Here is a 27,591-nt window from a genome sequence, read left to right on the forward strand (position 1 = left end):
ATGAAAGCACCTGAACCTCCCAAACTGACTAAAACGTTTTGAAGGAAACTAGATTAAATGGAACCCTTGTTGAAGAACCAAAAATTAGGCTTACCCAACTGGATACTTTAAAAATTGATTTTTTACTCCTTGAAAATGCTATACGTTCGAAGAATCGAAAGAGAAAAAGGCTGGATACTTTGGAATCCTAGGAATCCTAACAGTAAAATATCCTACAAATAGAAACTTAAGTCAATAAGGTATCTTTCATTCATCTTTGGTTGGTTCATTGGTTTTAATTTCAAAGACAAACTTATATTTCTTTCCTTTTTACCTTTAATTTCTACTACCTACCTGGGAAAGATGGTAACCACAGAACTGCTGAACTTACATAGTCATAGCTATAATTACATAATTTTCAAAAACTTATGTAAATTTTATTAAACAATTTGTTTCCAATTAATACATTTCTCCAGACTAATTTTTAAAAAACCAATGCCATAAATCCACATTATAGAAAAACAAAAGGAAATTTGAAAGAAAAAATATTTATTTTGGAATAATAAGACTAACTAGCAGAGATATCTTACAAGACAGTTCATATTGGACATGTATTGAAAAGGATGTCTCTCTGAACTGACCCACTAAGTTATTTATAAATTCAACCCCCTAACTTTCCTACTCCCTGCCCATTTTTTTTTTAAAGTAATACGATTTCAGCCGGGCATGGTGGCTCATGCCTTGTAATTCCAGCACTTTGGGAAGCCGAGGTGGGTGTTGATCACTTGAGGTCAGGAGTTAGAGACCAAACTGGACAACATGGTGAAACTCTGTCTCTACCAAAAATACACAGATTGGCCTGGTGTGGTGACGTGCGCCTGTAATCCCAGCTACTCAGGAGGCTGAGGCACGAGAATCACTTGAGCCCAGGAGGTGGAGGTTGCAGTGAGCCAAGATTGCATCACTGCATGCCAGCCTGGGTGACAGAGTGAGACCCTGCCACAAAAAAAGAAAGAAGAAAAAAGTAATACAATTTGGATTTGGGTATTAAAAAAAAATTCCTCTGAAGACCCACAGTTTCTGAGAAATACTTATCTAAACAGGAAGCATCACACTTGGGCAGGATAAAGCTTTCAAGAGCTTGCCCTTGATTTTAGCTCTTTTAGGTTAACATTCCCATGACTTTCCTATTCAGCTAAAGAGATTTCCTTGGACTTATTCCCTTACTCACTACAATTCCTACCTATACTTTAGGACAAAGCTTCAGAGCCCAAAAGGAGAGCCAGTTGGTCCTAAAAATGCTTTGTCCACTCTGATGCCAAGGTGCAAAGAGCATGAAGCGACAGACAAGGCATAAGAGATAGCCGCCTAGACTCGTCATTGAAGGCTGCCAAAATCGGGTCCCTCCTGTCGGGAGTATCTCCCTCCTCCCAAACTTCACTTGAGACTCTCATCATTACAAATGTCAACTGCATAATCTTTGCAGTTACTCCCCACCTGTGCATTAACATAAAGCAGCTTGCTTTATTGGGTTAATTCAAAAGAGTTATCAAGTACCTACTGTGCGCCAGGCACTGCTGTAGGTACTAGAAATCTAGCAAGCAATGAACGAAATGACAAAAATCTGTGTCTTCCTGAAACCTATATTCTGGTAGAGGAGACGTTCAAGAAACAAGCTAAAGAAACAAAATATGCAGTACGCTAACTAATACATGCTCAAGAGAAGACAAATGAAGCAGGCAAGGGGAATATACACTGTGGTGGGCGGGGTAGGAAAGGTTGGAATTTTAAGATTAAGTGGTCACACATAATCAGGCAGATGGTACGTGCCTAAAAGGGTAGCCAGAGCAAAATCAGATGGAGTGGGGAAGAGAAAGGAAGTGCGCTTATTTTAACAAGTCCTGAAGTGGAGAGAAAACCCTACGGGAAGGGGGTGAGGCAAACACTGAATATGGACCACTGAAGACAAACGCGGATTTCACATTTTGCCTAAAGACCAGTCCTTTGAGGATGGCACAACAGATGTTCTCCCTTTGTAACCAAAGAACCAGGCTCTGCTACTAAAACTGTCAGGCAGTTCATCGGACACGGGTGAACACACACACACACACACACACACACACAGCTTACTGTCAGGCAGTTCATCGGACACGGGTGAACACACACACACACACACACAGCTTACTGCCGAGGAGAAAGAAGCGTTACTAATCCAGAGTGGAGGACTGGCCTGGGAAATCGGGCAGAGAGAGGAGTTGTCGGAAAGAACACACCAGAAGCCCCTCCGAGCCCAGACACTGATAGAAACCCAGCCGCTTCCCAAGCCAATCTGCAAACCCAGGAGGCACCCACGAGTGCACAGACACACCCCCGGGGTGCAGGCGCGGTGAAGGGAGGAGAGGGGCAAGAGCTTGACCGTTAGGGCCCGAACCCCAGAACTCCCGAGGCAGGGTGTGTGCCGCGCGCGGGAAACGCCGTTCTCCGCTCCAGGCGTCGGCGGGCGGTGGCGAGAGCAGGTTCGGGGGTCCGGAGGGTCGGAGGGTGGGCTGCGCGCGGGAATGGCCGCCGCGAAGGAGGGGCGGCTTCCTCGGGCATCCCGGGCGCCCGGCCCCGTGCATGCAACAGGGGACTGGGCGCGAGCGGGCGCCTCGAGGTGCCGGGGCGGGACCGGGGAGAGGGGACCGAGACAAAGTTCCCGAGACCCGCGGGCCTCGGGCCGACCCGCGCGCCCCCGGCCCAAACGCTCAGCTCCCGCTCCCCAGGCCCGCGCGGACCCGGCCCCTCCGAGGGTAGCGGGTTCCAGCGGCGAACCCGCAGCGCCCGCGCCGGCGCCCGCTCGGCCCTTTCCCGCCCGGTGCGTGGGTCCAGGAGAGAAAGAAAGCGCGGCGGTGTCGGTGGCGGCGCGCGGCCCCACTCACCATGATCCGCAGCGGCTGTGGCGCGGCGACCCGGGCGGGCGGCGATGCGCTGTCCAGGGTAGCCGGGTCCCTCTGCCCGGCGCTATCTCGGCGCCCGCGCCGGTTACCCCCACCCACACCCACGCCCGGCGCGCGCACACCCGCCCGCGCCTCCCCGCCCCCTCGGGCTCGCGCCGCCGCCGCGCGGCGCTCCGAGCCTCGGGGCCGTTTCGTCCCCGCCCCCTCTCCCACAGGGGCCTCGCCGGCCGCCGCGCCAGGAGGGCGCGCGGGGGAGGGGCGCAGGGCAAGTGAGGCGGCGCCCCCCGCCCCTGCGGCCTCGCGCGCCCCCTCCTGGGCGACCGACCTCGCCCTCGCGTCCGCGGCGTCCCCTGCCGGCCGGGCGGCGATTTGCAGGTCCAGCCGGCGCCGGTTTCGCGCGGCGGCTCAACGTCCACGGAGCCCCAGGAATACCCACCCGCTGCCCAGATCGGCAGCCGCTGCTGCGGGGAGAAGCAGTATCGTGCAGGGCGGGCACGCTGGTCTTGCTTACAGTTGGGCTTCGGTGGGTTTGAAGCACACATTAGGGGGAAATGGCTCTGTTCCTGCAGGTTTGCGCAGTCTGGGTTTCTTAGGTTTAGGGGGTTGGGTGGGTTTCTCTGGGGGTGCGGTGGGAAGCGGATCAGTTCGGATAACGGCCCTGAGCAAGAGTCTCTGTCCCGCTCCCGGCCTGACGCGGGGCTTCCAGCGGACACGACCAACGGTGAGCGCACCCTCTTCACTGTGAACAGAACGGTGGCCTCCTAGAGCCTGCGCTTCTAGTTACTTTAGTTGTGTGTGTGGCCCAAGTGAAAGACGTCGAAAAAATTGGACTTGCCTGAGTATTACATGAACTTTCTTCCATTTCTCCCTCAAGCATGGGAAGTTGGCGGGCGTGGTGGTTCCCTCCTGTAATCCCAGCACTTTGGGAGGCTGAGGCAGGCGAATCACTTGAGGTCAGGAGTTCGGGACCAGCCTGGGCAACATGGCGAAACCCCGCCTCTTAAATAAAAAATACAAAAATTAGCTGGGTGTGGTGGCCTGCGCCTGTGATCCCAGCCACTCGGGAGGCTGAGGTGAAGGATGGCTTGAGCCCTGGAGGTGGAGGCTGCAGTGAGCCGAGATCACGCCACTGCACTCCAGCCTGGGCGACAGAATGAGACCCTGTCTCAAAAAAAAAAAAAAAAAAAAAAAATGTTTACCACATGTGAGGCTCATGTGGTAAACATGTTTATTGGGGTTGAGAGCAGCCCGTGTGGCTGTGCACGGAGGTACCTGCACCATACACTTAGCATCCCACACCTGGGGCGGTGTGGGAGCCCTTGCAGAGTTTTGTGCAGTAGCAGAGTGAGTAACTGTAGGTACCGGGGCTAAATCTTAACTGTCATACAATCACCTAATATATAGTTTCCTAATAGAGAGTTTTTCTTCCTAATATAGAATTTCTGTAGCTGAAGTGGTAAATATTAGGCATATATTTGTTTATAAAAGGCGGATGATTTTATGACCATAAACAGGTTAACCTAGTCTGATAAAAATCTCAGGAGTCAGCTCTGCCACATACTGGGTGTGTGGTATTGGGTTGGTTACCTAAACTGTCTATGCTCCAGTTTCCTGATTTACGAATTTGGGATAAAATAGCACTTAACATTACATGTAGCTGTTAGGGTTAAATTAATATGGGTAAAACTCTAGAAAAATATCTGGTACAAAAGTACTAGTTATTGATTTGTTATCAATTTGATGCATTTGAGAATCAGAAAGTGATATTCTATTTAATGCTGGCATATTTTTATAAAAAAGTGTGGCCCAAATCAAAGATACAATTTGATTTCAGCTTCACTTACTTTGTTCACTCAGCAAAGATTTCAGTGCCTACTATGTGCTAGGCGTTTTGGTAACAGCTAGGGTTACAGTGATGAAGAAAAACACAGTCCCTGCTGTTAGGAGTTTTTAGAACCTGTGATGATCTATATTATGATATTGAGAGACTTGAAGGAAATTCACACGAATAGTCCCCAAATATTGTTTTTCCTTGGAATGATTTTATTCTTTCTGTTTTACCTGTGTTCTTTCTTCTATTTGATACGTGTTATATTTGAAAGCTATAAAAGTAGCTTCCACGTCTTTTGGATATTGAATGATAAAAACTCTGGACCTGAATTTCACTGTATCACTAATCTGATGCAGTATAATGTGAATTCTTAATCTAGATAGTGATTTTTTGACATTATTGTGTATAAGTAGCACCAGAGGGTTTAATACTATACAGGGATACTTGAGATCCATCAAGATGACCTCAGGTACAGACCAAGAATATGAATTTTTTTTTGGTTTTGCTTTGGGTTTAATATTTGCTATCAGTTTCACATTGCGGGAGTATCTACTTCATTCCAGAGGCATCTCTGACCCTGCATAAAGTATAATGGACTCTCTATGGGTCTTGAAGTGGTGAAACCTCCATTTCTAAGGAATATGAATTTTGAACAAGCACCACAAATGATACTGGTGCAGCCAGGCAGTCCATGGATGATATTTTGAGAAACTAAATTCCATTATCCATTCAGGGAAAGCTTTAGTCTATTTTTCTAACAACATGAAGGGAAAAAACAATTTTAAGTGACAACCGACCTCTAAGAACCCTGCGGCTGTTGCTTGCAAAAATTGTATCATTGATGTCATCTAAACCTTGCAAAGCACACCAGGTAAACATGGGGAAGGAATTCTTAAACTTTGAATTATCCCTATACTTCCACATTACCATTTAGCCTGATAATCATTATTTTACCTTTATTCTCTAAAAATACACATCAACCCATAAGGCCAGAAGGAGATCTAAAAAGTCATCTATATCTTATCTGTTTCTTAAAATATTATTTTATGGCTTTCCTTATCACTACAACAAAGGAACAAATGAGACGGCAAATGCCAGAGGGTCTTTTTCCCCACCAATATTTTATTAAATAGAAAAAGGAAGTGGTGGCCAGGTGCGGTGGCTTATGCCTGTAATCCCAGCACTTTGGGAGGCCGAGGCAGGTGGATCACAAGGTCAGGAGTTTGAGGCCAGCCTGGCCAACATGGTGAAACCCCGTCTCTACTAAAAATATGAAAATTAGCTGGGCGTGGTGGCGGGCACCTGTAATCCCAGCTACTTGGGAGGCTGAGGCAAGAGAATTGTTTGAACCCAGGAGGCGGAGCTTGCAGTGAGCCGAGATAGCGCCATTGCACTCCAGCCTGGGTGACAGGGCAAGACTCCATCTCAAAAATAAATAAATTAATTAATTTTTTTAAAAAAGGAAGTGGTTCTACCTGTATAAACACAGGACTGGAAACATATCTTAACCAGATATAACTGGGAGAGGGTCTTAACTGGGTATAACATGAATTCCCACTTAATGGAAAATTTAACATGCCATCACTTACATGATTTTATAATATTTACTTTCGTTGTTCTCTTGTATGGATTACACAAAAGCTGGACTCTGTTTCTTAGCTGTACGGCAAGCCCATATTGAGCATGTGTACAATAACATAGACTAATTGTGTGTTAGGTACTTACATGGATGTGGTGCTATATAAAGTGATGATTAGCATAATCTAAGAATCTTAAACCTAAAAATAGAGATCTGACTGATGCTCTTTCTCTCCCTCTGTCACATATCGTAGATTTTATAGGTTCAGAAAGTGTGTCTCAGAGGAGTTAGAGAAGACCGATTAATAGATGACAGTGCTAAAGCCTGGATCTCCTGAATCCTGGGTGAGTATTCTCATTGTCTCTACTGCCTCTGCAGTGCTAGTCTGCCAGCCCTCATCAAAATTATGAAGTAGGCAAGCTTTGTTTTGGGGGGAGTTTAATCTCCTTTTAGTGTGGTTCTCTTCTGAAGCATCCCTTCTTTTGATATACCTAGCATCTTTGTGTTTTATCTTGAGAAAAATACTCACTTACAATGTATTATGACTTTAAATCAGTTTACTACATTTCTTCAAAGTATTTGTACTTTTAGGGTAGTAGTAGAAACAGACTCTGGAAATCACGTCCTTTCCTTGGCCATGGGCTCTGCTTTGTGTTAAGAAAGCTCTGCACCTATATGAGTTTAGAAATGAAAAATAGTAAGATAAAGAGTAAAGATTAAGCCCAAGTGAAGGCACATTGAAAAAACTGAGTTCCCTCCATCAAATTTAGTGCAGCTTTCACTCGATATGTTAGGACTAAGGATTTATGACAAAGCAATATATGTATATATTGGTCATTTGATTGGATGTAGTAACAAGGAGACAATCATGACCTTGTATCAATCCAGGTTTAAAATAAAGTTTATGTTAATTCATTTGAAAATATTATGCTGAGTACTATATTCTAGTATAACATTCTAGAGCAGAGGATGGCAAACTACAGTGGCAGGACAAATCCAGCCAGTTGCCTGCTTTTGTAAATAAAGTTTGTATTAGAATACCACTGTGTCCTTATGTTTACGTATTGTCTGTGGGTGCTCTCATGTTAGGACAGCAGAGTTGTGACACAACTGTATGGTCTGCAAGTCCCCACATAGCTACTATTTGGCCCTTTACAAGAAAAAGTGCCAATTTCTGTAGAACTTGGATGATATTAATATGGTATGGAACAATATAGGTGACTTCCCTTGTTTTATGAAGCTCATATTTCAACGAGAGGAAGAAGACAATAAGTCTAGATAGAGAAATGTCATGAAGAAACAGTATGATGATAGAGTGACTTGGGGGTAGCACTTTATTTTTCTAGGTTTTTGCTTTTTAAGTTTTTTATGTATTTTAATTTTTATATATTTAATGCATACAAGTACAGATTTCTTTTTTAATTATTATTATAATTTTTTATTTTACTTTAAGTTCTGGGATACATGTGCAGAATGTGCAGGTTTGTTAATAGGCATACGTGTGCCATGGTGGTTTGCTGCCCCTTCAACCCGTCATCTAGATTTTAAGCCCCGCATGCATTAGGTAGGTATTTGTTCTAATGTTCTCCCTTCCATCACCCCCCAACCCCGACAGATTTTGGTGTGTGATTTCTTATATGCATATATCGCATATTGGTGAAGTCTGGGCTTTTAGTGTACCCATCACTAAATAGTATACTACCTGATAGGTAATTTTTCAACCCTCCTAATTTTTCAACCTGTTAAAGTCACCAGTGCCATCCACGTTGCCGCAAATCACATGATTTCATTCTCTATGACTGACTGGTATTCCACGGTGTGTGTATGTATGTGCATGTATGTGTACACATTTTCTTAATCTAGTCCTCCATTGATGGACACTTAGGTTGATCCCATATCTTTGCTATTATGATTAGTGCTATGATGAACATACAAGTGCAGGTATCTTTTTGATATAATTATTTCTTTCCCTTTGGGTATATACCCAGTAGTGGGATTAAGGGATCAAATAGTAGTTCTATTTTTAGTTCTTTGAGAAATCTCCATACTGTTTTCCATAAAGGCTGTACTAATTTACATTCCCGCCAACAATGTATAAGCATTTCCTTCTCTACATCTTTGCCAATCTGTTGTTTTTTGACTTTTTAATAATGGCCATTCTGACTGGTGTAAGATGATGTCTCATTGTGGTTTTAAAATGCATTTCTCTGATGATTAGTGATATTGGGCATTTTTCATGTTTGGTGGCCACTCGTATGTCTTCTTTTGAAAAATGTTGGCTGGGCGTAGTGGCTCATGCCTGTGATCCCAGCACTTTGGGAGGCCAAGGCGGGCGGATCACGAGGTCAGGAGTTTGAGACCAGTCTGGCCAACATAGTGAAACCCTGTCTGTACTAAAAAGACAAAAAATTAGCCGGGTGTTGTGGTGTGCACCTGTAATCCTAGCTACTTGGGAGGCTGAGGCAAGAAAATCACGTGAACCTGGAAGGTAGAGGTTGCAGTGAGCTGAGATTGCACCATTGCACTTCAGCCTGGGTGGCAGTGTGAGACTCTGTCTCAAAAAAAAAAAAAAAAGTCTGTTCATATTTTCTGTCCATTTTAAAATGGGATTATTTGGTTTTTTCTTCTTGAGCTATTTGATTTCCTTGTAGATTCTATATATTTGCCCTTTGTCAGATGCATAGTTTGCAAATTGTTTTTCTATTTTGTAGGTTGTCTGTTTAATCTGTTGGTTATTTCTTTTGCAGTGCAGAAGCCTTTTAGTTTAATTAAGTCCCATTTGTCTATTTTTTGTTTTTGTTGTGTTTGCTTTTGAGGACTTGGTCATAAATTATTTGCCTAGGCCAGTGTCTTTTAAAAGAGTTTTTTCCCAGGTTTTCTTCTAGGATTTTTGAAGTTTCAGGTCTTACACTTAGGTCTTTAATCCATCTTGGTTAATTTTTGTACATGGTGAGAGGTAGGAGTCCAGTTTCATTCTCTGACATATGGTTATCCAGTTTCTCCTGCACCCTTTATTGAAGTAGGTGTCCTTTCCTTGGGGAGAACACTCTAAATAGGATGGTCAGGAAAGGCCCCTCTAAGCACATAATATCTAAATTGAGATCCATTGATGAAAACAAGCCAGCCATGAAGCCATGAGAAGATCTAGGGGAAATCCTTCCAGGAGAAGATAGCAAATGGAAACACTTCGAGACAGAAAAATCAGGCTTCTTTGAGGAACAGGAAGTTAGCCAGTGTGTCTGGAAAGTGTGAATCATCAGGGATTGTAGTGAGGATGCAGACCAAATCCTATAGATAGAGATCCATGTGTTTGTTGACACCATGGCCACTGGTCCCTGCTCTGTTGCTATGCCTTTGAGGACCTCAGTCCTAAGGAATCCGGGTCCTGGCAGAACATTTTTATGTGATGTTTACTGGTCAGCTGCAGTTATCCTAGTTTAAAAAATCTAATGGGGGCCATTACTTTGTACCCTTGTAGCCATTGGACTTTATCTTTCATCTTTTTGTTATGCTCACTTAACTGATCTTATTTACGCATTCTTGCACTTTACCATTTTGTCTTTCACAGATGCTATTTTACTTAAATTGTCTTTGTTGATTTCTTTTTAAATTTTTTTTTAAAATGTATTCATGGCAAGTAGCACGGGCATAAAGTGGGATAGTGTACTTCACAAGGAAGGCAGTCCCTCGGCATGACCTGCGATAGCCATCCCAATCCATACCACAGAGTGGCTGTTCCTTTCCCAGGTGTACCCCTCCAAGATTAACCCCACACAGTAGTCCTCCAGCCTATTTTTGTTGCAAACCTACTCTACAGCAAACTTGAAGCCTAGAATTCAACTGAAGAAGGAGAGAAAATGCTGATAAAAATGCAACCATTTAGGTCTCAAGGAGGGCACACTGCATGGACTCCCCCTTTCCATTCCCCATTGTGTGATTGTGTGAGTGTGAGTGTGGGGGGGTGTGGCAGTGTGAAGCCACACATCCTCTTCTGCTAGAATTAGAGTAATGTAAATAAGAGACTAGACTAGCAACTCATAATTAATCATTTTGAAGTCTATGATTTTTTGGCCTGTAGTTGGGCTGATCTGTAACAAATGATTTTTACAACATTATTGTAAAGTTGGTTTTTTTTTTAGAGATGGGAATCTCCTTTTTTTTTTTTTTTTTTGATCCAGAGTCTTGCTGTGTCGCTCAGCTTGGAGTGCAGTGGTGCGATCTCAGCTCACTGCAACCTCTCCCTCCTGTGTTCAAGTGATTCTCCTGCCTCAGCCTCCCAAATACTAGGATTACAGGTGCATGCCACCATGCCTGGCTAATTTTTGTATTTTAGAAGAGACGGGGTTTCACCATGTTGGCCAGGCTGGTCTCAAACTCCCGGCCTCAAGGGATCTGCCTGCCTCGGCCTCCCAAAGTGCTGGGATTACAGGCGTGAGCCACCACACCTGGCCAAGATGGGATCTCCTTATGTTGCCCAGATGGAGTCCTGAACTCCTGCGCTCAAGGGATCCTCCTGCCTTAGCATCCTGCGGAGCCAGGATTACAAGTTCGTGCTACCACAAATTCTTTTCATTATTGTAAATTATTGAAGATGTTATTGTGAATGTAGTTGGTGATAAAATTTACATGGATGCACAAAATTTAGTAGACTCTTCCCTTGACTTTGCTTCACCTTAGACTGACTGGTCCTGCATTTTCTTTCTATTGTCATCAAGAACAAAAGCCTTCAATATGAAAACCCTGTATGCCAACAAATAATCTACTCAAAAATTTTGTCAACTTCACCCTAAAGCAAGGAATTTAAATGTATTAAGAAGTCATCAGGTGGCCAGGCACAGTAGCTCATGCCTGTAATCCCAGCACTTTGGGAGGCTGAGGCGGGTGGATCACTCGAGATCACGAGTTTGAGACCAGCCTGGCCAACATGGTGAAACACCTTCTCTACTAAAAATACAAAAAAATTAGCTGGGCGTGGTGGTGTGTGCCTGTAATCCCAGCTACTCGGGAGGCTGAGGCACGAGAATCGCTTGAACCCAGGAGGGGGAGGTTGCAGTGAGCTGAGATCGCACCATTGCACTCCAGTCTGGGCGACAAGAGCGAAATTCCGTCTCAAAAAAAAAAAAAAAAAAAGAAGTCATCAGGCTAATAAAATAGCAGAAAATATAGTCTTATTTAAACATAGCTAATGCATTATTATATTTGTCCTAATTGGTATTAAATGAGGATACAAAATAAGAACAGTCTCAATGTAGTTAACATTTTATCTTTCTAGTAAATTGGTCGATTAACCTTGTAGAAGAAATAGAGATGAGGAGTCTCAGTGATACTCAAGAGTACAGGTCTCAATTATGTGCATTGTTACAACCTGAGCAAGTTCTTCAATGTCTAGGAAACAGAGACTAAAGCAGGGTGTCCAATCTTTTGACTTCTGTGGACCACATTGGTCTTGGGCCATACATAAAATATACTAACGCTAATGATAGCTGATGAGCTAAAAAAAAAAAAAAATCACAAAATAATCCCATAATGTTTTAGGAAAGTTTACATTCAAAGCCATCCTGGGCTGCATGTGGCCCATGGGCTGTGGGTCGAACAAGCTTTGACTAAAGGCATCCTATAATTAGTGCAGAAGTCACAGCAGGCAGTCTCAGCTTATAACTTCATCATTCTGTAAGCTCAAATGTGATATTTACGGGTAGCTATTGGGTATCCAATAGAAGCCCAAAATTATGCTAGGTAACTTGCAACGTAGCTCATTTAATCCTCACAATAGTCCTGTGACTAGCCCCGTTGTAGAGGTGAGGGACCTCAGGCTCAGAGACGTTCAGTAGTGTACACAGGGTCACATGGTTAGGCAGTTGGAAAGTAGGAGAGCCAGGATTCAACCTGAGGCCTGTTGGACTCTTTCCAGGACACCATGCTGTTTTGAATAATCCTATCTTTAAGAATCTTTATAGAATTGTCAGATAAATTCACTTTCTTCAGGTCATTTATTCACTTATTGAGGGTCAGTCACTTATATGACATGGGTCCACCGTGACTCTAGGAGAGCTTTACAGCATTGGTAGAAGAGTAGGGTTGAAGCAAAATGTTATGCTCATTAAGATTGTCATAGTGGCTTAAAGACAGCCTTCAGAGATCTGTAGGTTAATTTTGCAGTTACAGTGAAAGGGAAATTCTTCTGCATTGTTTGCCCAAGTAGTGAAAATACAAGTGTATGTCACTGGTCTTCCTTCAGCTATTAGTATTAAAGTCTAAAGAGCAGATAAGGTGTGAGCCTTCCAGTGATTTTACTTATTTTTCTCAATTATAGAACATTTCAAACATATACAAAAGAAGACAGAATAATAATGAATCCCAATGCATTCATCATCTACCTCAAAATTATCAACTCATGACCCATCTTGCTTCATCTATATCCTACCTATTTTCCCTCCATCTATTACTTTGAAGCAAACCTCAGATATAATAATTTATCCATAAATAATTTAGTATGTATCTCTAAAGACAAGGATTTTTTTAAAAAACACAATCACAATACCATTATAATACCTTAAAAATCCGATTTCTTAATGTCTTTAGAGATAATAAGTGTAGGCCAGGTGCGGTGGCTCATGCCAATAATCCCAGCACTTTGGGAGGCCGAGTTGGGTGGATCACCTGAGGTCAGGAGTTTGAGACCAGTCTGTCTAACATGGGGAAACCCCATCTCTACTAAAAATACAAAAATTAAATGGGCGTGGTATTGGGCACCTGTAATCCCAGCTACTCAGGAGGCTGAGACAGGAGAATTGCTTGAACCTGGGAGGCAGAGGTTGCAGTGAGCCAAGATGGCACCACTGCACTCCAGCCTGGGCGACAGAGCAAGACTCCATCTCAAAACAAAAATAAAATAAGTATACAGCTCTCCAATTAGGTTTATGTCTTTCTTTTTAACACTGCAGTTGCTTGATGTGTCTTTTAAGTCTCCTTTAATATCTACATCTGTTCATCTCTTTTTCTCGTAATTTGTTTGTACCGTAGAATTTCCAATAGTCTGGATTTTGTTGATGGCATCCCTGCAATGGGAATGCCATAGCTTAACAAGTGCTCTGCATTCTGTATGTTTGTAAATCGGTAACTGGCTCTAGAGGTTTGATCAGATTCAGGTGAGAATTTTTTTGGCAAAAATACCATACATGTGTGGTGTGCTTTTCTATCAGGAAGCACAAAATATCTGATTGTCCACTCTTTCTATATTTAGGCATGCTCAGTACTACATCCAGTGATTCATTAGGGGCTGAAAAAAACTGTGGTATTCTAGCTCTACATTCCTTTTTCATTTATTAGCTAGAATACTTTAAAGAAAAATATCCCCTATATACTCTTTGGTTACCTAAGGGGTATAGTTTGTATAGGAAAGGCAGGATAAATGCCAATTGTAAAATAAAGAGCTGGTTCATTAAACAATATAAAAATGCAGAGAACAAGTTCAAAATTTAGATATGAGATAGGCGAAGAATAAACAGCATTTAGAAATACTCGTGCTAACTGCCAAGATCAATAATGCCATGTTAACCATTGTTGCCCAACTTGTTTTTTATATCATTTATGTTCTACCTGAAAATAGAGTGGCTCTTTCAAAGAATTCGTTTTATTTATATAAACTCTGAAAAGGAAAAAATTAACAGAAGGCTTTAACATGATTGATCGTTTTCAAGGGGATAGGTCAGAGTTCAGGAGAGTGAGTCATGAAGAATTTGTCTAAAATCTTGTTTGGTGACCTCATTGAACTAATTGGATGGAAAAGTACATGTAACAGTAATCTTGGGACAAAATATAGTCTATGTCCAATCCCTAACTAATTCTGTTAAATTTACAATTAATTCCATCAGTACTTCAGCTTAGTTCAGTATTTTACTTATAATGTTAATTTTGACTGCCTTTTTAGTTTCTGTCACACAGTAGACATTTGGTAAATATTTGAGACAAACTGGCCTTTTGTTATTTACCCCATGCCACCTGAGGTTTCTATGACATTCTAAAGAGAATTTTATCCGATTCAAAGCTCTTTGAAAAGTATATTATTTTATTAGATAATGGAAATATAGTCCCTGATTAAATGCCAATTTAATAATATATTTATATAAACAATATTGTGAAACAAATGTGGTCATTACCCTTTTGAGACCTGCACCGTTATAAGATGTTTGCAGGCTGGGCGCGGTGACTCACATCTGTAATCCCAGCACTTTGGGAGGCCAAGGCGGGCAGATCACCAGAGGTCAGGAGTTCGAGACCAGTCTGGCCAACATGGTGAAACCCCGTCTCTACTAAAAATACAAAAATTAGGTAGGCGTGGTGGCAGGCACCTGTAATCCCTGCTACTCGGGAGGCTGAGGCAGGAGAATCGCTTGAACCCAGGAGGCAGAGGTTGTGGTGAGTCAAGATCTTGCCACTGTACTCGAGCCTGGGTGATGGAGTGAGACTCCATCTCAAAAAAAAAAAAAAAAAAAAGATGTTTGCAAAAAACTTTGGACACACAGTTCTAGCTATTACAGAGATACAACACATATATAAAACACATTTAAATAACACAAAAATAAAAACAACGATCACATTTGTTAAGCACAGTGGCTGCTTTGGACCTTGTGTTTTGTAGGTTCTAATATTTTCTCCATGTTTCTGATAGTGACACTGAACATGGTACTAGCAGTGAAGAAACTGCTGCCTGACCAGTACCCACAGGGTCTGTTGAATTCCAGTAATAGCGACAATTCAGTGAGCTGGGAATTAATATCCAGGAAACTTACATATGTTGGAGCCTAAGATAAGGTTAGCTAGTAAGAATGGGGCCAAGTATTACCAATGAAAGAAAATTTAGCTTATTTGCATTTTTCTCTATTTTTTGTCCCTAAAAGGACACACACTTCAATTCATATGTACCTATCCTGATCATTCTTCCTGTAGTGAAATTGAATGAAGCTTGGTGATACTTCCAGTTGAGTCTTTGCTCACCTGCTCTTTTACATTAATATCTGCAGCTTTAAAAGGCAGTGCACCAAGCTGGATGCAGTGGCTCATGCCTGTAATCCCAGCTATTCAGGAGGGTGTGAGGCAGTGGGCAACCAGGGAGTGGCTTGAGCCCAGGAGTTCGAGGCTGTTGTGAGCTGTGATTCTGCCACTGCACTCCAGCCTGGGCACCAGAACAAGGCCCTGACTCTAAACATAAATTAATTAATTATAGTAAAATAAAAGGCAATGCACCAATAGCTAGACATCATGGTGCAACAATTTGTAGTCCATCATTTCCAGTGAGCTGAAGTCACTAAATTCCTGAATTTGGATGCATAGATGTGATTAAAGACCTCACATTTGGAGGATGGCCTCTTTTACCATACAACTTTGGACTCACCCTGCTCCCACAACTCTCATCCTGCCTCCAGCCTCTAGCAAGTTTTGCATAACTTTGGACCTTGCTAAGGGAACTTCTGCTGGTGGTTACACATAGTTTTCTCATCCAGACAAATAGACTATCAACCAGACTATATCTTGGAACTTTAGCATGCTGTCTCATAACAGTACTCAGAACATGCTTATAAATGCAAAGATCTGACGACCTCTGAATTTCTTAAACACTTTATTTTTTATTTATTTATTTATTTGAGACACAGTCTTGCCCTGTCGCCCAGGCTGGAGTGCAATGGCACGATCTCGGCTCACTGCAACCTCCGTCTCCCAGGTTCAAGCAATTTTCCTGCCTCAGCCTCCCAAGTAGCTGGAATTACAGGTGCCCCCCCACCACACCCAGCTAATTTTTAGTATTTTTATATTTATTTATTTATTTATTTATTTATTTATTTATTTATTTATTTATTGAGACAGAGTCTTGCTCTGTCACCCGGGCTGGAGTGCAGTGGGCAGATCTCTGCTCACTGCAAGCTCCACCTCCCGGGTTCACGCCATTCTCCTGCCTCAGCCTCCCGAGTAGCTGGGACTACAGGCACCTGCCACCACGTCCAGCTGATTTTTTTGTATTTTTAGTAGAGACGGGGTTTCACCGTGTTAGCCAGGATGGTCTCAATCTCCTGACCTCGTGATCCACCCGCCTCGGCCTCTCAAAGTGCTGGGATTACAGGCATGAGCCACCGCGCCCGGCCTTTTAGTATTGTTAGTAGAGATGGGGTTTCGCCATGTTGACCAGGATGTTCTTGAACTCCTGACCTCAGATGATCCACCCGCCTCGACCTCCCAAAGTGCTGGGATTACAGGTGAGAGTCACTGTGCCCAGCCAGAAACACTTTAAAGCAAACCGATAGCCTTTGGAACTGGCTGGGGAACAGGTCAATACAATACCCTTTATTCCACTTTAGGAAAAAGAAAAAATAAATAAATGGAAAGAAAACCCAATCCATGTTTTAATGAGACTATTCAAGATTCTTACTCTGCCAGAAGATAGGCTGAAAATTAAAATTTAAAATATGACACAATGGAGACCAAGTACATAATCTCAAAGGGCTCTAAATATCATCAATCTTCAAGAAAAATAAATGTAAGAGCAACTTTTTAAAATTTTTTTTTGAGACAGAGTCTCGCTCTGTCGCCTGGGCTGGAGTGCAGTGGCGCGATCTTGTCTCACTGCAAGCTCCGCCTCCTGGGTTCACGCCATTCTCCTGCCTCAGTCTCCCGAGTGGCTGGGACCATAGGTGCCCGCCACCACGCCCAGCTAATTTTTTGTAGAGATGGGGTTTCACCATGTTAGCCAGGATGGTATCGATCTCCTGACCTCGTGATCCACCCACCTCGGCCTCCCAAAGTACTGGGATTACAAGCGTGAGCCACTGTGCCCAGCCGAGAGCAACTTTTAATACTTTCCACAAATTCAGTACTACCTCCTGAGTAGCTGGAATTATGGGCATGAGTCACTGCACCCAACTTAGTGTTGAGAAAGAGAACCAAGGAAATTAACTCTTAGCATTGAAACAAAGCACAAACTCATTCTGTAGCCAAGTTGTGGTATTTGAGTAATAATCTCAGACACATTTCCTTATTAAGGTCATTAATAGATATCCATCTATATTCTGAGTATTTGTCTGTTAGAATTATCTTGAACTCACTGATACTGAGTATCCACCAAGTCTGAGAGAGGAATATTTTAATGGGGACTTGTCATTTTTGTAATCTTATCTACATAGGCTAAGTCCATCCCTGCATTAAGCCAGGTCTTCAGAAAGCTTAGGACAGGGACCACATCAAATTGACCGTTACTAAATTGTTTGACTCCATTGAACTTTGCACTATAGTATCATTTTATATTTAGAAATACCATAAGAGGCCGGGCTTAGTGGCTCATGCCTGTAATCCCAGCACTTTGGGAGGCCGAGGAGGGCGGAACACAAGGTCAGGAGATCGAGACCATCCTGGACAACATGGTGAAACCCTATTTCAACTAAAAATACAAAAATTAGCCTGGCGTGGTGGCGCGCCTATAGTCCCAGCTACTCGGGAGGCTGAGGCGGGAGACTCGCTTGAACCTGGGAGGTGGAGGTTGCAGTGAGCCGAGATCATGCCACTGCACTCCAGCCTAGGCAACAGAGCAAGACTTTGTCTCAAAAAAAAAAGAAAAAAAGAAATACCGTAAGAAGTCCTGTGAAGTCCTGTGGCATATCTTCTTGTGTTTATCTTTTTTTTTTTTTTTTTTTTTTTTGAGACAGCGTCTCGCTCTGTCGCCCAGGCTGGAGTGCAGTGGTGGGATCTGGGCTCGCTGCAAGCTCCGCCTCCCGGGTTCACGCCATTCTCCTGCCTCAGCCTCCCAAGTAGCTGGGACTGCAGGCACCCGCCACCACGCCCAGCTAATTTTGTTTTTGTATTTTTAGTAGAGCCTGGGTTTCACCGTGTTAGGCAGGAAGGTCTCCATCTCCTGACCTCGTGATCCGTCCGCCTCGGCCTCCCAAAGTGCTGGGATTACAGGTGTGAGCAACCGCGCCTGGCCTTCTTGTGTTTATCTTAATGCAGATAACTTTAAAAAAATTACTTGCCCATGGGCCGGGCCCGGTGGCTCATGTCTGTAATCCCGGCACTTTGGGAGGCCGAGACAGGCGGATCACGAGGTCAGGAGATCGAGACCGTCCTGGCTAACACGGGGAAACCCCGTCTCTACTAAAAATACACAAAAATTAGCCGGGCGTAGTGGCGGGCGCCTGTAGTCCCAGCTACTTGGGAGGCTGAAGCAGGAGAATGACGTGAACGAGGGAGGCGGAGCTTGCAGTGAGCCGAGATCGCGCCACTGCACTCCAGTCTGGGTGACAGCGCAAGACTCCATCTCAAAAAAAAAAAAAAAAAAAAAATTACTTGCCCTACTAGAAGGAAGGAACATAAGATAGAAGTCCATATAACTTATTTTTTATCTGACTTTACTATGTATATTTGTAATGGAATAATTTTCACTTGCTCTAATTACTAATCATCAAAATGAATTCTAAAGAGTTAATCAAGTAGTGGGGTACCTTTGGCAAGACCAAAACTCATTCATTAATTCATTTATTCAACAGGTATTTTTGAGCTCGTTTCATGTGTGTAGTATTTGCCACTAGTGTGTGTCTTCTTCAGCAAAGAATCTCTTCAAATTTTTGGCCCATTTGTTATTATTTTCTTTCTTATTGAGGTTTGAGAGTTCTTCATATACTCTGGATACAAGTCCTTTATCAGATATGCATGTTACAAATATTTTCTTCTAGTCTATGGCCTGTTTTTTCTTTCTCTTAACAAAGCCTTTCAAAGAAAAGTTCTTAGTTTTGATATAGTTCAAGCTGGTTTTTTTTAAATGAATTGTGCTTTCTGTGTTGTATACAAGAAATATTTGCTTCCCAAGGTCACAAAGATTTTATTCGTGTATTTTCTTCTAGAAATTTTGTAGCATTAGGTATTACATTTACATCTATATGATTCATTTTCAGTTAATTTTTGTATATGGTGTAAGGGATGGGTCAAAGTTCTTTTTTTTTTTTCTTTTGTATACAAGTATTCAATTGTTATAGTACCATTTGTTGAAAAACTAATTTTTTTCTTTGAGACAGAATCTTGCTATGTTGCTCAGGATGGAGTGCAATGGTGCAATCTCGGCTCACTGCAACCTCTGCCTCCTGGGTTCAAGTGATTCTCCTGCCTCAGCCTCCGGAGTAGCTGGGATTACAGGCATGCACCACCATGCCGGGCTAATTTTTGTATTTTCAGTAGAGACGGGGTTTTGCCATTTTGGCCAGGCTAATCTTGAACACCTGACCTCAGGTGACCCACCTGCCTCAGCAAGTCTATTATTTTTTAATTGCCTTTGTATCTTTGTCAAAAATTAGTTGACCATATATGTATGGGTCTATCTCTAGACTTTCTATTCTGTTCCATTGATCTATGTGTCTACCTTTTCACCAATACCACATTGTCTTGATTACTGTTTCTTTATAGTAAGTCTTAAAATCAAGTTTTGTAAATTTTCCAGTTTTTCAAAACTGTTTTGGGTATTCCAACTTCTTTGCTTTCCCATATACATTTTAGAATCAACGTGTCAACATTCCACAAAAAATCCTAGAGAAAGTGTGGCTGAGATTGTGTTAAATCTGTAGGACAACTTAGGAAGAAGTGACATCTTCACAACATTGAGTTTTCCAATCTACATACTGGTGTATTTATCCATTGTTTAAATCTTCTTAGACTTCTTTCAGCACTGTTTTGTAATTCTAGGCATATCTTCCATAGATTTCGTTAAATTTCTACCTAAGTATTTCATGTTTTTTGATGCTATTGTAAATGATATTTTTAAAATTTCAATGTGTGGTTGTTGCTACACATAGAATTACAATGAATTTTTATATATTGACATTCTACCTTGTGATATTGCTAAACTTACTTATTCGTTCCAGAAGCTTTTTGGTAGATACTTGGAGATTTTCTACATAAACAATCAGGTCATCTGTGAATAGAGACGGTTGTTTTTCCTTTCCCATATGTATGCCTTTTTTTACTTTTCCTAACTCATTCAGCTGACTTGGGCCTCCAATACGATGTTGAATAGGAATAGTGAGAGCAGACATCCAGTGGTTGTTCCTCATCTTAGGCAGAAAGCTTTGCCTTTCACCAGTCATTATGATGATGGTTGTAGGGTTGTGTTTGTTTTGTAGACATCCTTTAGCAGGTCAAAGAAGTTCCCTTCTTTGGCTGGGCATGGTGGCTCACACCTGTAATCCCAGCACTTTGGGAGCCTGAGGTGGGTGGATCACCGGAGGTCACGAGTTTGAGGCCAGCCTGGCCAACATGAAACCTCATCTCTACTAAAAATATAAAAAAATTAGCTGGGTGTGGTGGTGGGCGCCTGTAATCTCAGCTACTTGGGAGGCTGAGGCAGGAGAGTCGTTTTGAACCCAGGAGGCAGAGGTTGCAGTGAGTTGAGATCACACCATTGCACCCCAGCCTGGGTAAAAAGAGCGAAACTCCATCTCGGAAAAAAAAAAAAAGAAGAAATTCTCTTCTTTTTCTAGTTTGCCGATAATTTTTTTTATTGTTATATATGGATGTTAAATTTGGTCAAATGCCTTTACTGTGGTCTAGTAAGGTAATCATACACTTTTTTTCTTATTTAGTTTGTGGATTTGGTAAATTTCGTTGATTAAATTTTCCTCTAAGCATTATTTTAGCTACATTTCACACATTTTGACATGTTTTTATTTCATTTTTATTTAATTCAAGATATTTTCTATTTTCTCTGATTTCCTCTTTGACCCATGTGTTATTTAGAAGTGTGTCTTTTCATTTCTAAAGATTTGGGGGTTTCCCAGGTATCTCTTTGTGCAATAAAATATAGTGTGTCTGTATTAAAAATGAAAGAAAAGACATTACTTGAGATGCTACAGACACTTAAAGGACAATAAGGGAATAGGATAAACAAATTTATGCCAACAAATTTGACAATAAAATGGACAAACTATTTGAAAGACACAAATTACCAAAGCTCACTCAAAAAAAAATAAATGACTTGAATGGTTCTATGTCTATTAAAGAAGTTGAATTCATATTTTACATTTTTCTAAGAAAGAAACTTCTGGCTCATATGATTTCAAATATATGTACTGCTAAATTTTTTTAAAGAAGAAATAACATGAATTCTACATAAACTCCTCCAGAAAATAGAAGAGGAGGGAGGACTATCCAACTCATTACTGAGGCCAGCTTTATCTCAATACCGAAATCAGACAAAGACATTATCAGAAAACAACAGAACAATGTTCTGTGTGTGCTTGAAAAGAATGTGTATTCTGCTGTTATTGGGTGGAATGTTGGTTTCACCCAGTGTCAGCTAAGTCACGCTTGTTTGTGATATTTGGTCTTCTATATACTTAAGTTGCCTTCATCTTTAATCTCAGTCTACCTTCAAATAGTGTTATATGGCTTCTCATATGGCATAAAAAATTTACCACAGTATATTCCCAATTCTCCAGTTCTACCTTTTGTGGTATTGTTGGCATGCATTTTACTTTTTATGTGCCATAATACTATATAATTCATTACTCTTATTTTTGCTTCAGATAATAAGTTATCTTTAGAACAACTTAAAACAATTTTTTTTTGAGATTTTACTTTCAGCTTAGCCATTTCTAGAGATCTGCATTTCTTTGCATAGATGCAACTCTCTGCCTAGCATCATATTCCTCTGTAGAATTTCCTTGACTATTTTTTGTAGTACAGGTCTCAGGTAATGAATTCTCTCAGTTTTTGTTTGTCTCATGTTTACATGAGATTTCAAATATTTTACTTGAGATAAATAAGTCTCTAGAGATGAATGCCATTAATTCCCTTTCTCCCTGCAAGCACATCAAGAGGTAAAATCTACTTTCATTCCCCTTAAACTTGGGCTGATCTTGTGACTTGCTGTGACCATTGATTGTGGTAGAAGTAACTACATGCAAGTTAAGTTCTGAGTCTAGCCTTTAAGAGTCCTGGCAGCTTTTGCTTTTTCTTGAGGAGGCCAGCCACCTTAATGTAAAGAAGCTCAAGCATAGTTACTGAGTTGTAAGATACACTATGAAGAGAGAAACGCTACATGAAGGAACACCAGATGAGAGATGTGAGGGAAACCTTCTTGGACCTTCCATCCCAGTCCAGCTACCCACTAAATTCAGTTGCAGGAACGACCTTAGCTGATATCACACAAAGCAGAAGAACCACTCAGCTGATCGCTGCCCAGATTCCTGATCCTATTAACATAGTGGCAAGAAAAGCCAGACAAATGTTTAGTGCAGTTAAAAAATATTGTTTATGAACAAGGAACCCCCTTGGCCTGCACCCAGGTTGAACTGCTCCCCCATCTTTCGATATGCCTTTGGGTAAAAGTGAAAAACTTGGAATGATGTGGGGCTAGCTCTTGTACTCACTGGTAAATCAAGATTCTTAGGTATCTGGCCAGGCGCGGTGGCCCACGCCTATAATCCCAGCGCTTTGGGAGGCCAAGGCGGGCGGATCACTTGAGGTCAGGAGTTTGAGACCAGCCTGGCCAACATAGTGAAACACCATCTCTACTAAACATACAAAAATTAGCCAGGTATGGTGGCGCGTGCCTATAATCCCAGCTACTTGGGAGGCTGAGGCAGGAGAATTGCTTAAACCCAGGAGGAAGAGGTTGTAGTGAGCCAAGACTGCACCATTGCACTCTAGCCTGGGCAACAGCGCAGAGACCCTCGCAAAAAAAAAGGAGTGGGGGCTGGGCGTGATGGCTCATGCCTGTAATCCCAGCACTTTGGGAGGCCGAGGTGGGTGGATCACCTGAGGTCAGGAGTTCAAGACCAACCTGGCCAACATGGTGAAACCCCTCTACTAAAAATACAAAAATTAGCTGGGCATGGTGGCCTATGCCTATAATCCCAGTCACTTGGGAGGCTAGGCGGGAGAATTGCTTGAACCTGAGAGATGGAGGTTTCAGTGAGCCGAGATTGCACTGTTGCACTCCAGCCTGGGCAATAGAGTGAGATTCTGTCTCAGAAAAAAAAAAAAAAAAAAAGAGAGATTCATAAGTCTCCACTAGCTGATGGTATGGACTAGCAATAATAATTTCTCTATGTACATTCAACTAGCAGAGTTTCATGAAATACAGCTTACAACTTCTGTTCAGGTAATCTCACCAAGACTTCAGATATTCAGGATCTAGTAGCATTTTTATTCAGTGAAAACAAAATCTTTCCTCCTTCCTTTTTTTTTTAATATTTGTTCTTCATTCAAATTTCAAATGGTATTGTATATTGTGGCAAAAGAGAGTAAATGCTGCTTCATCCTCAGTGGGAACTAAATCACTCCTCTTTGGCTGCAAGCCTGTAGCTGGTGATGCACACAGATGGCCCCGGCATTGTTTCTGGGATTAGCAAGAAGAGACTCCCTTGTGCGATAGAATCAGAAGCCTGCCAGTCAGCCTTAGGAGAAAACAAAACTGGCTGAGATAATGTGTTCATTAAGGTGGCTATCCAGGAATTTTCAATGTTTTTATTTACTTCCTCTAGCTTTTTCTCAAAGAAGGTTTCAAGAGAAAGCTATTTGTCAACCTAAGGAAGCATGTGCATCCGTGGCTCAGTCACTTGCACTTGTTTTATAGAATGATGTTTTCCCTCAAGCTAGTAACTGAGATAGAGTAATGGAAAGAAAGATGACTTCCCGAAATACATACAAAAATAAAATATCTGCTGTCAGGCAATCTTTATTAAGGATATTTAAAATGTAATTATTGTACTTCAGTTTGAATAAGTAAAGTCTTTTGCTACTAATATTCATCATTATTCAGCTACTTATTTTGCCAGTTGCTGCAGTCTTGACTTCAGATAGCTAAGTGTGTTTCTGGACTTGTCCTAGGCCAAAGGAGAGCCTTGCTGCCTTGATGGAAGTTACACCACCTCTTTTATCCTGGTTATGCTCTTATCTGGTGACTGGTCATGTGAGGGTAGAAAGGCCCAGCTCCCTATGCCACTTCTGGAGCACCCCATAGGACGAAATGAGTCCCGCCCCCACTGGCCAGTCCTGCTTCCTCACTCCCTCACAGACATTGATCCCAAGAGCACTCCCCAGTAAATGTTCTCCATTTCAGAGACTGCTTCCCATAGGCAAACGGACCCACAACAATATATTCAGAAAGGTATTCCCCCACAATTCACGTGCTGAAGTTCTAACTGCCATGGAGGGTGGAGCCTTTGGGAGGTGATTAGATAATAAGGGCTCTGCCCTCATGATTGGGATTCGTGTCCTTATAAAGAGACCCGACAGAGCTAAGCTCACTCCTTTTGCCATGTGAGAACTCAGCTAAAAGGTGCCATCTGTGAACTTGGAAATGGGCTCTCACCAGACACAGAATCTGAAGATGCTTGATCTTGGACTTCCCAGTCTCCAGGACTATGAGAAGTAAATTTGTGTTGTTTGTAACCCACTCAATTTGTGGTATTTTGTTATAGCAGCCTGAACTAAGACACCAACTCAACAATTAACTTAGATTTATCTAAACCCCCCAGTTATTTCCTGTATTATTTAAAAATAGGAAATACTGTATTTCCTATATTATTCCAAAGCAAATCCCATATGCCATATTTTTATCTGTAAACATATCAGGATGTGCTGTATCTTTCAAAAGTAAGGACCCTTGCTTTTAAAAGCCATAACCACAATACCATTATTACACCTTTAAAAGTTAACAGTAATTCCCAATAACATCAAATAAAGTCAGTGTTTACTTAATTTGAAACAGGATCTATATAAGGGCCTATAATTGTAATTGATTGATATGTCTCTTAATTTTCTTTTGATCTTTAGCTTCTTTTTTTCTCATCAGATAGTTTTTAATCCGTATAATTTTCAACTTTTGTGATTACTGTGCTTGGATATATGGTCCCTTTTTGTATGGACCGTAAGCTCAGTCTCAAGAGTTTATGGTAATACATGTGATACTAATAGTAGCTGCCTTTTGAGGCCTTTTTATGAACCAAGCACTCATAGTGCTTTGCATATATTATCTCAGTTAATCTGTGTAATAACCCTCAGCCCAATTTTACAGATAGAAAAACTCTCCCATTTGAGACTTCCAGAGGTGAAGTAATAAGAAACAGAGCTGAACCACGTCATTCTGACTCCAGAGTTCATGTTCTCAACCTCTAGGCTCCGCTGCCTGAGTAAACGTATTAGAAGTTAATGCCATGCTGAGTGAGTGCTATGTTATTCTCAGTACTTTCATGGGTGTTTGAAATTTTTCCTAGGTTAACAAAAAAAAAATTGAATGCTGTCATAAAATGGCCATGTGGTCAATCTAAATCAACAAACTTTCTGTGTACATGGAACTGGGTAGGAGCTGAGCAAAATCCATAGATAAATGATGTTTGATCTCTGCCTTCCAGATGCTCACAGGCCAAAGGTTGGTGGCGGGAGACAGACAGATACAAAAGCAGATTGAATAAAAAGTGGGCTGTCGGGAGTCTGTAGTAGAGCTGTAGACAGAAAGTGATGGAGGCAGAAAGGTCATTCTAATTTGGGGGTCTAGGGAAGGCATTTTGGAGAATGTGGGAGCTGCAAGGCCCTTGAATGATGAGAAGGATATTAGCAAAGTGTAGGTGGATGAGGATTGAAGATGATGAGTATTAAAGTGTGATACCACATTCTAATGAAGTTCCTTTGGGGCTTCTCTTTCTCCCAATTGACTACGTGGAAATGCACAAAGCATTCATTAAAGCTTTCTCCCCAGCTCAGCAACTTGCGACACAGACAGATAGGAACTAAACTCTGACCCTGCCTTCACTGCCTTTCCAGGCAGGATCCAGGTTGGAGTGCTGATGTTAAGGTCATGTTGTCCACCTGTATTAACTGCCATTATCTGTTTAGGTCAGGCAGCTTGCCAGGTCTATCTTGGCAGGAAAGCCTCGGTTCCCAAGATAACCTGTTTTGTGCCTCTCTGATTACAACCTGACTGCAACCCTGCATTGTTCTTGGTGAGCAGTGAGCAGCTATCACTGCACAAGGTGACCAAACTCTGTGCTTAGTGGCAGATCCATCTGAGATTCCTTTTGGGTGTGCTAAGAAGCAAGGCTCTCCTTTCTAGTACTTGGAGGGACTACTTACTTCATTTTACATCTTTATTAGAAAAACCTGCTTCTCTGGCTTTACGAGGCTAAGCAAAAAGGGCGTGCTAAGCAGCAAGGTTTTCATTTCTGTTTTGTCACCTGTCAGCAGCAGAAGCTCAGGCTGCCTGACCTTTTCCCAAGCCTAGTGTCTCCCACCTGCCTCCTCGCACATCTTGCAGTTATGTTCTCAGGAAAGTCAAGCAGGTTTAACATTAATCAAAGACAAACCTAAGTAGAGGAGTAAATCGACTACCCACTCCTCCCCTCCAAACAGTATGTAGTAATGAATTCAAAAGCAAAGTATTTTCATTATCCGTGCTAGCAACTCTTGTGACTAAGGATGAAAGTTGAGTTAATAATAAGCCTACAGGCCCTCACTTCAAAGATATAAGGATAACGTATAAATCAATGTTGCTATATTATTTCCAATGAGATTTTTTTAATGTTTACACTTACATGTTTTATTTTCTTCTTATCACATTTATAACATGTAATAGTTCTTAGTGCTGTCCATTAAATATTTCTGGTTTTCCTCCAAATTCACAATAGTAGTATATTTCCTGAACTCTAGAAGTTAGATGTGGGCATGTGATTTACTGTATAGTTAAGACAGTGTGAGTGAAGGAAGTGGATGCCACCTCCAGACAAACTTTGGGAGCCAACGCATGATTGCCTGTGCTTTGCTGTCCCTTTGCCACAGTAACTGGTGACTTTTGGGGTGACGGCTGCTCCTTCGGTCTGATTCACCTGGTAGATCCCCCAGCCAACTCTGTGATAGATATGCAGCACAAGGTGGAAATCAACCCTGGATGTTTTAAGTGACTGAAACTTTGAGGTGGAATGTTACTGCAGCATTACCTAGCCTCATTTGACTGAAATATAGGGTTTTTAAAAAGGCTTCTGAGGATTAAAATGAGCCTCTATAACTTGAGAAAGGATTTTGTCTTGATGAGTGTGATAAAACGCTCACCCTCTACAAATTGGAGGGACTAATGATAATTTTGCCCATCTTTCTAAAAAGGCTTATTTTCCAGTCCTTTGATGACTTACATTATAATCATAATATATAAATATTATGTATATAACACATAATATAGCCCCTTGTAACAAGTTCTTTCCCCAAAAAACATTAACTAAAAGTTTTACAAAGTATTATAG

General features: G+C 41.8%; 1 protein-coding gene and 1 long non-coding RNA gene across 4 annotated transcripts in view, besides 3 other annotated features; one reads left to right on the top strand and one right to left on the bottom strand.

Moving 5' to 3' along the window:
- Nucleotides 1-2,975, bottom strand: part of ELOVL2 (ELOVL fatty acid elongase 2) — a 63,547-nt gene extending 60,572 nt beyond the window's left edge. Inside the window, exon 1 of the mRNA NM_017770.4 lies at nt 2,898-2,975. Coding sequence (NP_060240.3) covers nt 2,898-2,900 — 3 coding nt within the window. The 5' untranslated portion in view covers nt 2,901-2,975. The remainder of the gene's footprint in view (nt 1-2,897) is intronic.
- Nucleotides 2,428-27,591, top strand: part of ELOVL2-AS1 (ELOVL2 antisense RNA 1) — a 35,387-nt gene continuing 10,223 nt past the window's right edge. The window contains exons 1-3 of one of the 3 annotated variants that reach the window (NR_038964.1): nt 2,428-2,495; nt 6,579-6,669; nt 7,779-7,889. This is a non-coding gene — a long non-coding RNA (ELOVL2 antisense RNA 1). Of the gene's footprint in view, nt 2,496-3,360; nt 3,637-6,578; nt 6,670-7,778; nt 7,890-27,591 lie in introns of those variants that run through there. The other 2 variants (NR_038963.1, NR_038962.1) reach the window with 2 other exon arrangements.
- Nucleotides 2,871-3,070: a silencer, noted in NCBI's record as "silent region_16908". NCBI's record gives its function as "represses an Ori minimal core promoter by ATAC-STARR-seq in GM12878 lymphoblastoid cells {active_cell/tissue: GM12878}" and the evidence as "EXISTENCE:reporter gene assay evidence [ECO:0000049][PMID:35858748]".
- Nucleotides 3,505-4,005: an enhancer, noted in NCBI's record as "H3K4me1 hESC enhancer chr6:11045068-11045568 (GRCh37/hg19 assembly coordinates)". NCBI's record gives its function as "activates a minimal SCP1, AML or CMV promoter by ChIP-STARR-seq in naive H9 embryonic stem cells {active_cell/tissue: H9 hESC(naive)}" and the evidence as "EXISTENCE:reporter gene assay evidence [ECO:0000049][PMID:30033119]".
- Nucleotides 4,006-4,506: an enhancer, noted in NCBI's record as "H3K4me1 hESC enhancer chr6:11045569-11046069 (GRCh37/hg19 assembly coordinates)". NCBI's record gives its function as "activates a minimal SCP1, AML or CMV promoter by ChIP-STARR-seq in naive H9 embryonic stem cells {active_cell/tissue: H9 hESC(naive)}" and the evidence as "EXISTENCE:reporter gene assay evidence [ECO:0000049][PMID:30033119]".

Source organism: Homo sapiens, chromosome 6, assembly GCF_000001405.40.
Source record: "Homo sapiens chromosome 6, GRCh38.p14 Primary Assembly".
In the NCBI taxonomy this organism is placed as follows: Eukaryota; Metazoa; Chordata; class Mammalia; order Primates; family Hominidae; genus Homo; species Homo sapiens.